At 46.3% G+C, this 16,348-nt stretch overlaps 2 annotated features.

The window, feature by feature from the left end:
• Nucleotides 4,172-4,680: an enhancer, noted in NCBI's record as "H3K4me1 hESC enhancer chr13:113946506-113947014 (GRCh37/hg19 assembly coordinates)". NCBI's record gives its function as "activates a minimal SCP1, AML or CMV promoter by ChIP-STARR-seq in primed H9 embryonic stem cells {active_cell/tissue: H9 hESC(primed)}" and the evidence as "EXISTENCE:reporter gene assay evidence [ECO:0000049][PMID:30033119]".
• Nucleotides 4,681-5,190: an enhancer, noted in NCBI's record as "H3K4me1 hESC enhancer chr13:113945996-113946505 (GRCh37/hg19 assembly coordinates)". NCBI's record gives its function as "activates a minimal SCP1, AML or CMV promoter by ChIP-STARR-seq in primed H9 embryonic stem cells {active_cell/tissue: H9 hESC(primed)}" and the evidence as "EXISTENCE:reporter gene assay evidence [ECO:0000049][PMID:30033119]".

Here is a 16,348-nt window from a genome sequence, read left to right as displayed (position 1 = left end):
GGCGTCCCAAACGCGGGCTCTTTATGGACAGGAGGGTGGTGTGGGTGGCAGCGCGGGTGACCGGCCGGGTGCGCGGCCAGGGATGGGCGAAGGGTTTGTCTTTTGGTGAGTGGGAAGCAAGTTCCTCACACAGGGAGGCCACTGTGCCCAAACTCTTGAGTGGTTTTAGGAAGGAAATAAGGGATCTGAAATGGGTCAGTGCGGCCTTCCGCTCGTTAATCGCGGGCTGAGGGAAGACGGCACCAGGCTGCCCAAGGTGAAGGTGAAGGTGCGATGGCGATACTCTTTGGCTTACAGAAAGTTCCTGTCGAGCACTTTGTTTTTTTTTTTGAGACGGAGTCTCGCTCTGTCGCCCAGGCTGGAGTGCAGTGGCGCGATCTCGGCTCGCTGTAACCTCCGCCTCCCGGGTTCAAGCGATTCTCTTGCCTCAGCCTCCCAAGTAGCTGGGATTACAGGCGTGCGCCACCACGCCCGGCTGATTTTGTATGTTGAGTAGAGACGGGGTTTCACCAGTTGGCCAGGCTGGTCTCGAACTCCTGACCTCAAGCAATCCACCCGCCTCGGCCTCCCAAAGTGCTGAGATTACAGCCCTGAGCCACGGCGCCTGGCTCCTGCATTTTAGAAGTCTGAAGATGCTCTGTTTTTTGGCTTGTCATCATATAGGATTTATGGCCTTTTGTTAAAATACTATTTAATTAAGGCCCCTACGCTACTGCTTTGTATAAAGCACCCGTCGCATAAGTACCTACATCTTAGAAAAAGATTTAATCTTACATTTCAAAAGGCATCATAGCAACGGGGACTGGATGTGCACCTAGTTAATAGAGACAGCACTCAGCCAGATAAAGACAGGACCAGGCACTCACTATCAGTCCTCACCAGAGGACTGTGACCTTAAAAAGGGCGGGATTTGACCAATTCAACACTGGCATTTTGATAGACCCCACCTTGCTGTCACTTGTGCTTAGCACCCTGCATCTGCTGCCTAAGGATCTGCTCACATCAAGGACTTCCTTGGAAGACAATGACTTCTGTCTGGATCAGGCTGGAATACACTCCTTGTTCCCGTCATTGCTTTCCTTGGATTGATCCATTAACCCCTTTTCCTATCCTCTTTCTCTTGATGTCCAATGTTACTTTGTTTGATGGGGAATGTTTAAACCATAGCGTTTGTATTTTAAGTACACTATGATGTATAGTTTGCAGTATTGACTGACACGTGGACTGGCTTGAGCCTTTGCCCATGGCTCTACCAAGTTAACAAGTAGTACTGAAGGGAATTGTCTCGAGGCAACTCCTCGTAGCTCGTGGCTTTTATAATTGAAATAGCATCAATATATTCCCACCCTGTGGAAAGACATAAACGTGTGTGGACCTGGTTATGTCTGACCTTGTGCTGTTCACAACATGCCTTGAGAGAGAAATACTTCTGAACTGAGGCCTCTCACACGATGGGTACAGCAAGTGCTAATAAACTTCTGCTTGTTTCTCCTGTTGCTCTGAATTTTGTTTTCAGGAGAATGTCTCAACTAATAAAGAGAGAAAGAAGAGAAATTATATTTTCTCCCCTGCAGTGGAATGAGACAATTACGCGAAACTCTGGAGGTTTAAATTCGGGGACTCCTCTGATCCACTGCTTCTTAAGGAGGCTAGAAGTAGGGTTTAGAAAGTAGGAGAGGTGTTTGAACAAGCATACTGAATATTACAGTTTTATGGTGCAAAACAAAAACCTGCTTAACAATGCAAAAATAGAATCTAATGCTGGACAAAATCTTGGTTGAAGGAGGTTCAGAGATGACATGATTCCCACACTGTGTCCTAAAGTGTGTATCAGAACGGAGGGAGGGCATTTATCAAAAAAAGGCTCAGAAACACTCATCTAGTCCAAACCATACATATCTGTTCTTTCCTTTCCTGCTGCTGCCCCATGCTCTGGCCATACTCATCTATTTACTTCACCTGTCTCCACTTTTTTGTGGTTACAATTATTTAGACAAAGTGATGCCCTACTCCCTCCCTCCCTTCTTTTCTTTTCTTTTTTTCTTCTTTTTCTGATTCTTTCCTTTTTCTTTTCTTCCCCCTTCTTTCTTTTTTGTTTTGTTTTGTTTTGTGACAGGATTTCTCTCTGTCTCCCAGGCTGGAGTGCAGTGTTGGAATCAAGGCTCACTGCAGCCTCAAGCGGCCTTCCCACCTCAGCGTCCTAAGTAGATGGGACTACCGGTGCACACCATCACACCTGGCCAATTTTTAAAAAATTGGCTGGGATCACAGGCATGCACCACCATGCCAAGCTAATTTTTGTGTTTTTAGTAGAGACAGGGTTTCACTATGTTGTCCAGGCTGTTGAACTCCTGACCTCAAGTGATCCACCCTCCTTGGCTTCCCAAAGTGCTGGGAATACAGGCATGAGCCACCGCGCCTGACCTTTTTTTTTTTTTTTTTCACATTTTATAGCTTTTCTTTGTTTTTTAAGTTAGGAATTCAGTGTGGAATATATTTCCCTGAAGACATTGTTAACCTAAAATAATCAAGAGTCAGAATCTACTTTAAAGAGAGATTATTCAAGTGCAAAGTTTGAGGACAGGCCGCCCAGGAAGCACAGATTCCAAAGAACAGAAGTCGGTGTTCTGAAATGTAGCAGTTTGGGATCATTTCTATAGATGAAGTTTAGGGAAACTTAACACAATTCCAGCATCTTTCTCTCTGAGGGTGAATGCACAGTTACTGTGCTCCGATTAGCCAAGGTGGTCTTTTCCTATTGGGAAAGGTATGTTTGGCGTTCCACACGGACTACGTCACGGGGTCGTCGTGCCATCTAGTCTGAGTTAGGACAGATGCACAGGACAATGAAGGAGGCGGCTGGTCCACAGCAAAGATCAGTAATGGGAAGCGGGGAAGTCTGGTCTCTGGTCTCTCCTAGTCATTTACAAAACAAGAACAAGAGGCTGTGTGGTCACCTGTCAGCCTAACCAGTCCAAGAAGCTGAAGTTGCAAACGTGCTGCATGACTCAGGCCACAGGGCCTAGCTTCCCGCTTGGCACAAGAAACAGGCTCCTGAAATTTTCTTCTGCAGTTTCTGCCACAAGAGTTCAGGTTTGGAAGCTGATACATGGGCTCAGTATTTGAAATAAAGTAGTGGTTGATAGGTAAAAATTGAGATAAGTAGTCTTTTTGTAACAATTCTAAAGGATATTTTAAATAAAAGTAGAATAATATAATGATCCCCGCCTTGCCTACCACTATTACCCGCCTTTCAGTTACTACTTAAAAAATGTTTTTTAGAGGTAGGGTCTCACTGTGTTGCCCAGGCTGGGTTGCCCAACACTGCAGCCTCATCCTTCTGGGTGCAACTGAGCCTTCCACCTCAGCCTCCCAAGCACCTCCAACTACGGGCACGCACTGTCACACCTGGCTAATTTATTTTTACTTTTGTATAAAAGACAGGGTTTGCTATGTTGCTCAGGCTTATTGTGAACTCCTGGGCTCAAGTGAGCATCCCGCCTCGGCCTCCCAAAATGCTGGGATTATAGATGGGAGCCACTATGTCCAGCCCAGTTACCAACATTACGGCTAAACTCACCTTGGGCATTTCTAGGTCACAGTTGGAATCCATGATTTCATCAAGAAGCCCTGGTTTGGGCCAGGCGCAGTGGCTCACACCTGTAATCCCAGCACTTGGGGAGGCTGAGGTGGGAGGATCCTGTGAAGACAGGAGTTTGAGACCAGCCTGGCCAACGTGTTGAAACCCTGTCTCTACTAAAAATACAACAATTAGCGGGCTGTGTTGGCGTGCGCCTGTAATCCCAGCTACTCCAGAGGCTGAGACATGAGAATCACTTGAAACCTGGGAGGCAGAGGTTGCAGTGAGCTGAGATCATGCCATTGCACGCCAGCCTGGGCAACAGAGTGAGACTCTGTCTAAAAAAAAAAAAAAAAAAAGCCCTGGTTTATTTTGATGAAAAATGGTCTTTAGAGATGTCAGAGTCAAAAATGTAGAGATGACTCTCCAAATTTAACGTTTTATTTGGGAAGAAAGCATTGCAATTCAGGTGTCAACTGCAAATAATGAGATTCAGAAAATCTGATTACCTATAGTGTGTATTTGAGTGCAGAGCTTGAGGATGGCCACCCGGGAAGGCACTGACTGCAGACACATGGGGTCAGCGTTTCCAAGTGGAGAAGCTCAGGTTTCACTTACCACGCAGAGACAGAAGCTCCAGCAGGATCACCACAGTTCTCATATGAGACCAGGGGCACACGCCGCAGCGGTTCCATTGGTTAGGGATCTCTGTATTTGAAGGAAGATTGCGTTATGACTCCATGAGGAGGGGTAGTGATCTGAGGGGGTCTTATCTCCGGTGCCATTTGGTCTTTATTGTTTACAGGGAGAAAGGCAGAAGTTGCAGCTGCGTGTGGCATGACCTATGCCGTATAGCCACATTTCCTTCAAGGCTCAGGGTAATTCACAATTTCAAAGGCTTTATGTTTGATTCATTCAGTTTCACAGGGGCATACACACAAACTGCGTGTCTTTGAAGAACAAAGAGAAGATTCGGGGTTCGATAAGAATGAGGAAGGTCTTGAGAGAAAGTTCCCTGCTGTTGGTAAAGCTCTGTCCGGGATCTGGCAGGGTCCGTGGGCGTGGGCGGCAGCGGGGGCGGGGAAGTTTGTCCTCTGGGGCTGTCGGGTGTCTCAGCAGCCATGGATGGAACTGGATTCAGGTTACAGCAGCAGTTTTCACTGCCAGGCTTGAAGAGAATTACATTTTGGAGCAACATTGTGTGTCCTGAGTGCTTTCTCCCCAGGCTCTTTGACTGTTTTAGTTGGGTGTGGCGAGAATGACCCAATTTCTCTGATCAACTTTCATCGAGATCACAATCTATTTTAGCAACTGGTTTGTCAAGCTTCTAGGTCTTTTCCATACACAGACCTAAGAAAGACAGAACATTTAAGAGAAAATCAGGACTTTATACTGGGATTTTCTATTCAAATGATAATTAGGGAGTTTTAACATCTTTTTTTTTTTTTGAGATGGAGTTTCACTCTTGTTGCCCAGGCTGGAGTGCAATGGTGCGATCTCAGCTCACCACAACCTCCGCCTCCCAGGTTCAAGCGATTCTCCTGCCTCAGCCTCCTGAGTAGCTGTGATTACAGACATGCACCACCATGCCCGGCTAAATTTTTTGTATTTTTAATAGAGACGGGGTTTCTCCATGTTGGCTTGGCCGGTCTCAAACTCTCGACCTTAGGTGATCCTCCCGCCTCAGCCTCCCAAAGTGCTGGGATTACAGGTGTGAGCCACTGCACCCGACCTAACTTCTTGTTTATGTCTGTATTTGCACCTGTGTTTTCTTACGCTGACAATCTTGACCCCTGACAAGGGTCCCATAATTTGCTTTCTCCTACAATCTGTGAGTGATTGCTTTGCAGGGCAGCACCCAGGTCACCACCAGGACTGCTGGGTGCCTTGAGGGTCTGTCCACAGCTCTTTTTCGTCTTTTGGGCATGTCCTCCCAGGGCAGCAGCTGGTGCTCTGTGTAAAAGTCACTCAAGGCATCTTCTTTGTGTGGTTGTGCCACCCACTGTCTATACAGTTAGGTTCATTGACTTCATTTCTTTCCAAGTTTTAAGGAGTGCTTTTTGTTCCTTTTTTCTTTTTTTTTTCCTGTTTTTTTTTTTTCTTTTTTTGAGACAGGGTCTTGCTCTGTCACCTAGGCTGGAGTGCAGTGGCACAATCTTGGCTCACTGCAACCTCGAACTCCTGAGCTCAAGTGATCCTCCCTCCCCAGCCTCCCGAGTAGCTGGGACCACAGGTGCGTGCTACCACACATGGTTAATTTTCTGAACTTTTTATAGAGACGGGGTCTTGCCGTGTTACCCAGGCTGGTCTTGATCTCCTGGGCTCAAGCGAACCTCCTGCCTTAGCCTCTCAAAGTGCTGGGATTACGAGCTGGTCTTGAACTCCTGAGCTCAAGTGATCTTCCCACCTCAGCCTCCCAATGTGTGGGGATTATAGACGTGAGCCACCACGCCCAGCCTGAACCATAAATGCATTTTGTGAAGCAAAACAAAACAAAACAACAAAACAAAACAAAAACAAGCCCCAAAAGGTCACAAGTGGGATTCCGTGCACATGACATTCTGGAAAAAGCAAAGCACTAGGGACTGCTGGGGCAGCGGGGAGCTGGCCCCAGCATTCCAGCATGACGGGACAGTTCTGGGGCCCGGGGGAGAGCCGGCCCCAGCATTCCAGTGTGACGGGACAGTTCTGGGGTCAGGGGGCTGTGGGGGTTCTGGGATGACAGGAAAATTCTGGGGTTGGGCTGGGGCCATGGGGGTTCCAGGATGACAAGACAGTTCTGTAAGGAATATGGTGGTGGAGGACATTCTGAATATTTGTCAAACCCATAGAGATGCACATCACAGACTAAGCTTTACTATACATTAATGTTGGAAATCTACCTGGAGGTAGGGATGGGGGAAGACCCAAGACAGAATGCAGGCTGTGACCAGCAAAGACAGTGCATGGGAGCGAGTCCCGCAGCCACACTGAAGGACGTGAGGAAGAAAGGAGCTGGTCTAAGTGACTTGAAGTCTTCACAGGATGCTTTTGGGGAGGAAATATGATCTTCCTCAACCTCCATGACTTCTGAGTTGGGACAGAGTCCTGTGACAAAAGACAGGTTAACAAGAGAAAAGCAAACGGTTGATAAACACACACGGTGTGCATCAATGGGAGGAATCTCAGCGTGTTAGCTGTTTGCATCGCTAAAAAGGCATACTTGAGGCTGGGTAATTTACAAATAAGAGGTTTATTTTGGCTCATGGTTCTGCAGGCTGCACAGAATGCATGGTGCTGGCATCTGCTTCTAGGAAGGCCTCAGGGAGCTTCCAATCGTGGCAGAAGGCGGAGGAGCAGGCGCATCACCTGGCAAGAGAGAGACGCCAGGCCGCCTGAAACCACCAGCTCTCATGAACTCAGAACAGGTTCTCGCTTGGTACCACAAGGAGAGAACCAAGCCATTCACGAGGAATCCGCCCCCATGACCCACACATCTCCCACCAGGCCCCACCTCCAACACTGGAGATTATGTATTTCAACATGAGATTTGGAGGGACAAATATCCAAACCACCTCACTCAGTGAAAATAACAAAGCAGTGGCTCACAACTCTGGCTTACAGCATCTGCAGGAAAGAACAATACATTTGCAGACAGAGGGCAAAAGAAAGCAATTCTGGGCTTCCAAAGGTGGGAAATTGTGGGAAGCTAAAATATATGAGAGGAAACGAATGGGGTAAGGTTTGCTTGCAGATTTCCCTGGTATCTTCTCCGAGCTGGTGAGCATCCAGAGTTGTCTCCAGTAAAGGAGAATTTATATCCTGTCTTGGTGTAGAAGAGCTTTTCCTCCATTTGCTGCTAAATTGCTTTTAGCTCAAAATAAGTTTTATGTCAAAGAGGCATATTTTACAGTGACGCATTCTGCTTTCCTTTAATACTGTGAGGTTAAAGGCGCAAGAGCTGTTCAGAAACACCACACTCCAGTTGGTAAATTTGTTTCCCACAGGGGTGTGGATTAGCAAACTATGTGTTTGCCAGTGTGGAACCAGTGGATATTCTGCAGATAATGATGATTTGCAGGTCCTCCCTGTGGAAGACAGAAGTTATGAGTAAGGAAAGGTACAGGTGAGAATGAGTTCTGTGGCACTGGATGGGCAGGCCCTGGGGCCTCAGGATGAACCCAGGTGTCTTTAAATAGATACAGCCGCATAGTTACAGAAATAAGCAGACCTGCACGTGCATGCACACGTGAGTCACGGACCCTCCTCTCCTCTCCTGGCTCCAGCTGCTGACAGAGCTGAAGCTGCAGCTTCAGCGACAGCAAGCACAGGCTGTGGCCACATCCTGGTCTCTCAACACTGTCCTCCAGTAAAGGAATCTGGGCTCCTTGGAGAATGGTTGATCCAAGACTGGGAGGGAAAATGCAAAATGAGCCTGGAGCATCTTGTGGCTCCAGGAAATTAGGATGTACTTGAAAAGCAAACTGATAGGTGTGATAAAAGGACCCAGATGCCACCCCAAAAAACATTCCCAGTGGCCAAAGCTGGAAGAGTTTGAGTAGGAAAGTAAAGAATAATAGCTTTGGTGTATGAGCAAAAGAATAAATGTCTCTTGTTGGGAGCAGGCCCCCCAAAATCTGGCCATAAACTGGCCCCAAAACTGGCCATAAACAAAATCTCTGCAGCACTGTGACATGTTCATAATGGCCCTAACGCCCAAGCTGGAAGGTTGTGGGTTTACAGGAATGAGGGCAAGGAACACCTGGCTGGCCCAGGGTGGAAAACCACTTAAAGGCATTCTTAAGCCACAAACAATAGCATGAGCGATCTGTGCCTTAAGGACATACTCCTGCTGCAGTTAACTAGCCCAACCTATTCCTTTAATTTGGCCCATCCCTTCGTTTCCCATAAGGGATACTTTTAGTTAATTTAATATCTATAGAAACAATGCTAATGACTGGTTTGCTGTTAGTAAATATGTGGGTAAATCTCTGTTCAGGGCTCTCAGCTCTGAAGGCTGTGAGACCCCTGATTTCCCACTTCACACCTCTGTATTTCTGTTTGTGTGTCTTTAATTCCTCTAGCGCCGCTCAGTTAGGGTCTCCCCGACTGAGCTGGTCTCGGCAGTCCCTGAATCCCTTCGGATGGAAAAAACTGAATAAGTAGAGGAGAAGAAACAAATCTTTCTTACAGAAATTCCCATCATTCAATGCAGAAAGGAGGAGGGAAGTGGAAAATTAGCATTTCCACCGTCATAAGGATTGCTGTAGGCTGTGTCCACTGGCAGACCTGAACAGGAATGTTTAAGGAGAAACGTATTTGCATCGCCTTGAAGCCTCCCGGCTGCCACGAGCTGAGTCTGCTGATGGAGGCTGGTATCCCCTGTGGCAGGATCTGCTGGCACCATGTGCCTCCTGACAGGCCGCTGTACATGCCCAGCCCCCTTGGTGCTGGCCTTCAGAAAACAGACCAGCGCAGATGGAAGGCAGGTCTACCAGGTACCTGACCAGTACTCCTCAAAACCTCAAGGTCATGACAGACTGTGAAAGAAAAATGAACTGTCACAGACAAAGACACCAAGGAGACATGAGGACCAATGCAGCGTGGGACCCTGGACCAGCTGCTAGAATAGAGATAGGGCATTTGTCAAAAATTGGTAACATTCAAATGAGCTTTGTACTTTAGCTAATGGCAGTGCACCAAAATTCATCTTTTGTTTTTGATGGGTGCACCATGGTTCTGTAAGGAGTTAACATGGGACTGGATGAAGGTATCAGGCTTCTGCCACTCTTATGTCTATAGCCAATGGCGTTTTCACTGGATCACGTTGCATGTACAAGTTCACTGAGGGAGGTTGACATCTTTGTGGTGTTGCACCTTCTTACCCAAGGGCACTTAAATTTGTCCAAGTCTAGCTTAAGTTACTTATTTATTTATTTATTTTTGAGAAGGAGTCTCACTCTGGAGTCTCACTCTGTCACCCAGGCTGGAGTGCGGTGGCACAATCTTGGCTCACTGCAACTTCCGCCTCCTGGGTTCAAGCAATTCTCCTGCCTCAGCCTCCCGAGTAGCTGGGATTACAGGCACCTGCCACCATGCCCAGCTGATTTTTGTATTTTTATTTGTTTTTATTTTTATTATTTATTTATTTATTTTTGAGAAGGAGTCTCATTCTGTTGCCCAGGCTGGAGTGCAGTGACACAATCTGAGCTCACTGCAACCTCCGCCTCCCGGGTTCACACAATTCTCCTGCCTCAGCCTCCCGAGTAGCTGGGATTATAGGCGCCCGCCACCACGCCTGGCTAATTTTTTGTATTTTTTGTAGAGACAGGGTTTCACTATGTTGGCCAGATTGGTCTCGAACTCCTGACCTCGTTATCTGCCCGCCTCAGCCTCCCGAAGTGCTGGGATTACAGGCGTGAGCCACCACGCCCGGCTCTCAAGCCATCTTCCTGCCTCAGTCTCCCAAAGTGCTGGGATTACAGGCATGAGCACTGCCTTATTTTATTTTTTAATTGACATATAATAATTGCACGTTTATGGAGTACGTAGTGATGTTTGGATCCATATAACGTGTAGTGATGAGATCAAGGTAATTAACACTTCTGTCAAATCAAACATCATTTCTTGGTATTGGGGTCATTCTGCATCCTCCCTCTAGCTATTTGAAACTGTAGTCCCTGTCCAGTACTGTAGTCCCTGTCCAGTGCTGTAGAACGCTGGAACTTGTTTCTTCTGTAATTTTGTATCCTTTAGCAAATCTCTCCCTATCCGTGATTGTTTTCTTTTCCCAAGAATCAGCAAATTGTCCCATATCGGAAGAGACTATTGTTGTGGTGATCAGAATTTCTAGCACTGGACCTGGGGGGAGGACAGGTTGCCAGGGGTCTTCCTCCCTCGAGCCTTCCATTCTCCCTGGGGTTGCATCAGAGCTGAGCTCTGTTGAGGCTACTCAGAATGTGGGCTTTGGCACCAGGCGGACCTGAGCTTGAAGCTCCTGTCTGTCACTCGTCACTGGGGTCCTTGATTTTCACTTCTTTACCGTGCTCGTGCACACTTACCTCAGCAGCATTTCCTGTTGGTCCATTAATGACAGGAGAGGCAACTGATCATGCTGATGGGTGTACGGTTAGGGTTAACCAATGAGAGGCAATGGATCGTGCTGATGAGTGTACGGTTAGGGTTAACCAAGGAGAGGCAACGATCGTGCTGATGAGTGTACGGTTAGGGTTAACCAAGGAGAGGCAACGATCGTGCTGATGAGTGTACGGTTAGGGTTAACCAAGGAGAGGCAACGATCGTGCTGATGAGTGTACGGTTAGGGTTAACCAAGGAGAGGCAAAGATCTTGCTGATCAGTGTATGGTTAGGGTTAATGAATGAGAGGGCGACTGATCATGCTGATCAGTGTACAATTAGAGTTAACAAATGACATGTCAGAAAAATGCAAAACAGGAAGTGTTAAAGTAAAATATATGCTAATAAGCAGAAAAAAGAAGCAAAACTCCCATGATGTGATAATTTTGTAAATGAGCCCCTTCTATGGGAATTTAGATTACTTTTTTCTGTTTAAAATAATGCCTTTGGGGCCAGGCAGAGTGGCTCACGCCTATAATCCCCGCACTTTGGGAGGCCGACGTGGGAGGATTGCTTGATTCCAGGAGTTTGAGATTAGCCTGGGCAACATAGGGAGACCCCATCTCTACAAAAAATACAAAAATTAGCTGAGTGTGATGGTGCATGCTTGTGATCTCAGCTACTTGGGAAATTGAGGTGGGAGGATTGCTTGAACCCGGGAGGTCAAGGCTGCAGTGAGCTGTGATTGTACAACTGAACTCCAGCCTGAGCAACAGAGCAACACCTTGTCTCAAAAATAATAAAATGGACCGGGCATCGTGGCTCACACTTGTAATCCCAGCACTTTGGGAGGTCGAGGTGGGCAGATTACAAGGTCAGGAGTTCGAGACCAGCCTAGCCAATATATAGTGAAATCCTGTCTCTACTAAAAACACAAAAATTAGCCAGGCATGGTGGTGGGCACCTGTAGTCCCACCTACTTGGGAGGCTGAGGCAGGAGAATTGCTTGAATCTGGCAGGCGGAGGTTGCAGTGAGCCAAGATGGTGCCACTGCACTCCAGTCTGGACAACAGAGTGAGACTCCATCTCAAAAAATAATAATAATAAAATTTAAAAAAAAATAATGCCTTTGGGAGCATCTTTTATACCTATGTGTTGGTTCATCTTGGATAGTTTCCTTTTGAGAGACTCCTTGGAGAATGGCTGGGTCAGAGGGTGTCAGCCTTTCGGCTTCTGTGTCTGAGTTGCTTTCCAGGAGCTGCTCATGAGAAGGCCTTAATACTGTCCTGAGTGTTAGGTGCCGTGACTTAAGCCTCTTAAAATGGGCAAGGTTTACCAATTTCCTTGAAGTACTTAAACCATGGTAGTCTTGTTTTTAGAAGGTTATGAAACGGAACCCTCTCACAAAAAAGAACCAAAACTTTTACCTTCTTCGAAAGTGGGTTTAAAAAAAATAGTTCAAAGTCATTTGCAGCAAGAGAAATTCGGTAACTGCAATAATGCTCATGTGCCCATTACAGACTCACTGGAATGCTGTCTCCTGAGAGCCCTGGGATCCAAGGTGTGCTTAATTAGAGCCTATTTTTATTTAAGAATGAAATCCTGCTAACCAGAGCCTATTCCTAATAATGAAAAACACAGAATGGGAACTGAAATCCACATGAAGCCACTTCTCCATCTGAACTCATGACTAACCTCAAAGGGGGATTTAAAAATGGCTCTGTGAGGCCCGGCGCGTTTTCTCATGCCTGTAATCCCAGCACTTTGGGAGGCCGAGGAGGGTGGATCACGAGGTCAGGAGATCGAGACCAGCCTGGCCAACATGGTGAAACCCCGTCTCTATTAAAAATACAAATATTAGCTGGGTGTGGTGGCAGTCACCTGTAATACCAGCTACTCGGCAGGCTGAGGTAGGCGAATCACTTGAACCTGGGAGGTGGAGGTTGCAGTGAGCTGAGATCGCACCACTGCATTCCAGCCTAGCGACAGAGCGAGACTGTCTCAAAAAAAAAATAAAAATAAAAAAAAAGAAAAAAAAGGCTCTATGTTACTGTTGCCATGCAGCAGAACTGAGCATCACGGGACAGACATGTCAGAACCGTGTTCACGTCATGCCTGAGGAGATGGTGATGAGAGGAAGGGTGTGACGAAAGACCTGCAGACACATGTCCATCTGTGGTCTCCAGGTGGTATCTGTTAGGAAGGCTACCTGGAGGCATCAGTCATCAGTTAATCTAGCCATTGTCTGTTTCTGTTTCATAAGAAGAAAACTTTAGGATCCAGACAAGACCATTAAGAAAGATCACGATGACCATGGCACTGACTTTGAAAAAGATCCTCAATGAGGAACTATTAGTTTATCTAAGTAGAGCTAGGTAAAAATGCCTCGTTCATTTTCCATTTTTTCTTTTAATTTTTATTTTATTTTGAGAAAGTCTTGCTCTGTTGCCCAGGCTAGAGTGTAGAGGCATGATCTTGGCTCACTGCAACCTCCGCCTTCCAGGTTCAAGTGTTTCTTCTGCCTCAGCCTCCCAAGTAGCTGGGATTACAGGCATGTGCCACCAAGCTAGGCTAATTTTGTATTTTTAGTAGAGATGAGGTTTCGGCATGTTGGACAGGCTGGTCTTGAACTCCTGGCCTCAAGTGGTCTGCCTGCCTCTGCCTCCCAAAGTGCTGACATTACAGGCGTGAGCCACTGCACCTGGCCTCTTTTAACTTTTAAAATCAACTTCATTGAGGTTAGTTTACATAAAATAAACCCATTTTAGGTGCTCAGTTTGAAGAATTTTTACAAGTATGTATACCCATGAAACCACCACCCCAATCAAGATAGGAAACATTTTCTTCAATCCAGAGGGCTCCCGCATGGCCTCTGCGGTTCACCCGACCCCTAAACCCACACGGCCACGGGTCTGCTTTGTCACAAGAGATGAGTTTTGTATCACAGCATTTCACTTTGTTGGAAGCACAGAGTGTGTACTTCGTTGTGTCTAGGTTCTTTCTCTTTGGGTGATGTTTTTGAGGCTTGCGCATGTTGCTGTATGCAGCATGCCTTCACCCTTTTTAGTGCGAAGGCACATCCCGTTGTTTGGCTCTACCATAATCGTCTGCTCATGCACCTGTTGAAGGACATTTGGGTTGTTGTTTCCATTGTTTTGGTAGTTACAAATAAAGCTGCCGTGAATGTTTGTGTGCAGGTCTTTTGTGGATCCGTGCTTTCCCTTCAGTAAATACCTGGGAGTGGAATGGCTGGGGCGTGTGATAGGTGCGTGTTTAGCTTCCGGAGAAACTGCTACCTGTTTCTCCAAAGTGGGTGCACCATTGCATGTTCCCCACAACAGCGTCTCCACATCTCTGCCAAAACTTGGTATTGTCAGTCTTTTTTTCTAATTTTTTCTTTTTCTTTTTTGTCTTTTGCAACAGAGTCTTGCTATGTTGCCCAGGTTGCTCTCAAGTCCTGGCCTCAAGCGATCCTGCCACCTCAGCCTCTCAAATAGCTGGGATTACAGGTGTGCACCACCACTCCCAATTTGTCTTTTTAATTAAAAAAATTATAATAGCTTTGTAATAGTGTCTCGTGATTGTCATTTGCATTTTACTGACAACTAATGGCATGGAGGGTCCTTTCATGTGTCTGATATCCATTTGTATCTTTTTCAGTGAAGTGTCTATTTATAGAATGTTTGGCATATTTTTAAGAATGGTTTATTTTCTTATTGTTGAATTCTGAGTGTTCTTTACATATTTTGGACACAGATCCTTTGTCAGCGCTATGTATTGTAAATATTTTCTCCCATTCTATGCCTTGCCTTTTTTTTTTTTTTTTTTTTTTTTTTGAGACAGAGTCTTGCTCTGTCAGGCTGGAATGCAGCGGCACGATCCTGGCTCACTGCAAGCTCTGCCTCCCGGGTTCATGCCATTCTCCTGCCTCAGCCTCCCGAGTAGCTGGGACCACAGGCACCTGCCACCACGCCTGGCTAATTTTTTTTGTTGTTGTATTTTTAGTGGGGACACGGTTTCACCGTGTTAGCCAGGATGGTCTCAATCTGTTGACCTCGTGATCTGCCTGTCTCAGCCCCCCAAAGTGCTGGAATTACAGGCGTGAGCCACCGTGCCCAGCCACCTTTTTGTTTTCTTAATGGTATCTATCAAAGAGCAAGCTTTCAGTTTTTTTAATGTATTTTATTTTATTTTGAGACAGGGTCTTGCTCTGTCACCCAGGCTGGAGGGCAGTGGCACAATCAGGGCTCACTGTGGCCTTGACCTCCCAGGCTCAAGTGATCCTCCTGCCTCAGCCTCCTGAGTAGCCGGGACTACAGGAATGTGCCACCACGCCCAGCAAATTTTCTGAGTTTTTTTGCAGAGACAAGATCCACTGTGTTGCCCAGGCTGGTCTCAAACTCCTGGGCTCAAACGAATCCACCCGCCTTGGCCTCCCAAAGTGCTGGGACTCCAGGCATGAGCCACCCCGTCCAGCCCAACACCCCCTTATCCTATCTCAAGCATTTCTTTCTACTGACCTCAAGTCTTTAATTCTTTCAACCAGTTGCCAATCAGAAAATCTTTGACTCCATCCATGACCTGTAAGCCCCTTCCAACCTTCACTTCAAGATGCTCTGCCTTTCCAGGCAAACCAAAGTATACTAACCTGCATCCGTTTACGCCTTTGCCCACAACTTCTGCCTCCCTAAAATGTGTAAAACCAAACTGGAACCCAGCCACCTCACGTGCATTCTCAGGACCTCCTGAAACTGTTCCCTGGGCCATGGTCACTTGTATTGGCTCAGAATAAACCTCTTTCTTTCTTTCTTTCTTTCTTTCTTTCTTTCTTTCTTTCTTTCTTTCTTTCTTTCTTTCTTTCTTTTTCTTTCTTTTCTTTCTCTTTTCTTTCTTTCTCTTTCTTTCTCTCTCTCTTTTCTTTCTTTCTTGCTGTCTTTCTCTTTCTTTCTTTTCTTTTTTTTTTTTTTGAGATGGGATCTTGCTCTGTCCCCCAGGCTGGAGTGCAGTGGCACAATCATAGGCTCATGCAGCCTCAAACTCCTGGGCTCAAGGGTAAACCTCTTTCAATATTTTACAAGTTTGGCTTTTTCGTCAAAATTGCCTCGGCATCTTTATTTTTTTGTTTATTTGGTTTTTGCTTTTTTGAGACAGGATCTCACTCTCATGACCCAGGCTGGAGTGCAGTGGTGCCATCACTGCTCACTGCAGCCTCGACTTCCCAGGGCGGGTGATTCTCCCACCTCGGCCTCCCGAGTAGCTGGGACTACGGGTGCGTGCCACCACACTCAGATAATATTTGTATTTTTAGCAAAGATGGGGTTTCACCATGTTGCCCAGGCTGGTCTTGAATTCCTGAGCTCAAGTGATCCACCTGCCTCGGCCTCCCAAAGTACTGGTATTACAGGTGTGAGCCGCTGTACCTGGCCTGGCATCGTTGTTGAAAATAACTTGACCTGATGTAAGTGGATGAAGTTTTATTCTCTCTGTGTAACTCAGTTGATCTCTATGTCTCCCCTTTTGCTAATATCACAATGTCTTGATTTATAGTAAGTCTTTGGTATTAGGTAGAGTAAGTCTTCCAACTTTGTTCTTTTAAAATTTGTTTTGACTATTTGCACTTCCATATACATTTTAGAATCAGCTTGTCATTTTTCTATAAAGAAAGCCAGAATTTTGCTGGGCTCTGGATTGAATCTATTATCAATTTGGAGGA

The sequence above is a fragment of the Homo sapiens genome, chromosome 13 (genome assembly GCF_000001405.40).
Source record: "Homo sapiens chromosome 13, GRCh38.p14 Primary Assembly".
Classification (NCBI taxonomy): domain Eukaryota; kingdom Metazoa; phylum Chordata; class Mammalia; order Primates; family Hominidae; genus Homo; species Homo sapiens.
Note: the sequence above shows the minus strand (reverse complement) of the source record. Positions and strands in the feature narration are given on the sequence as shown.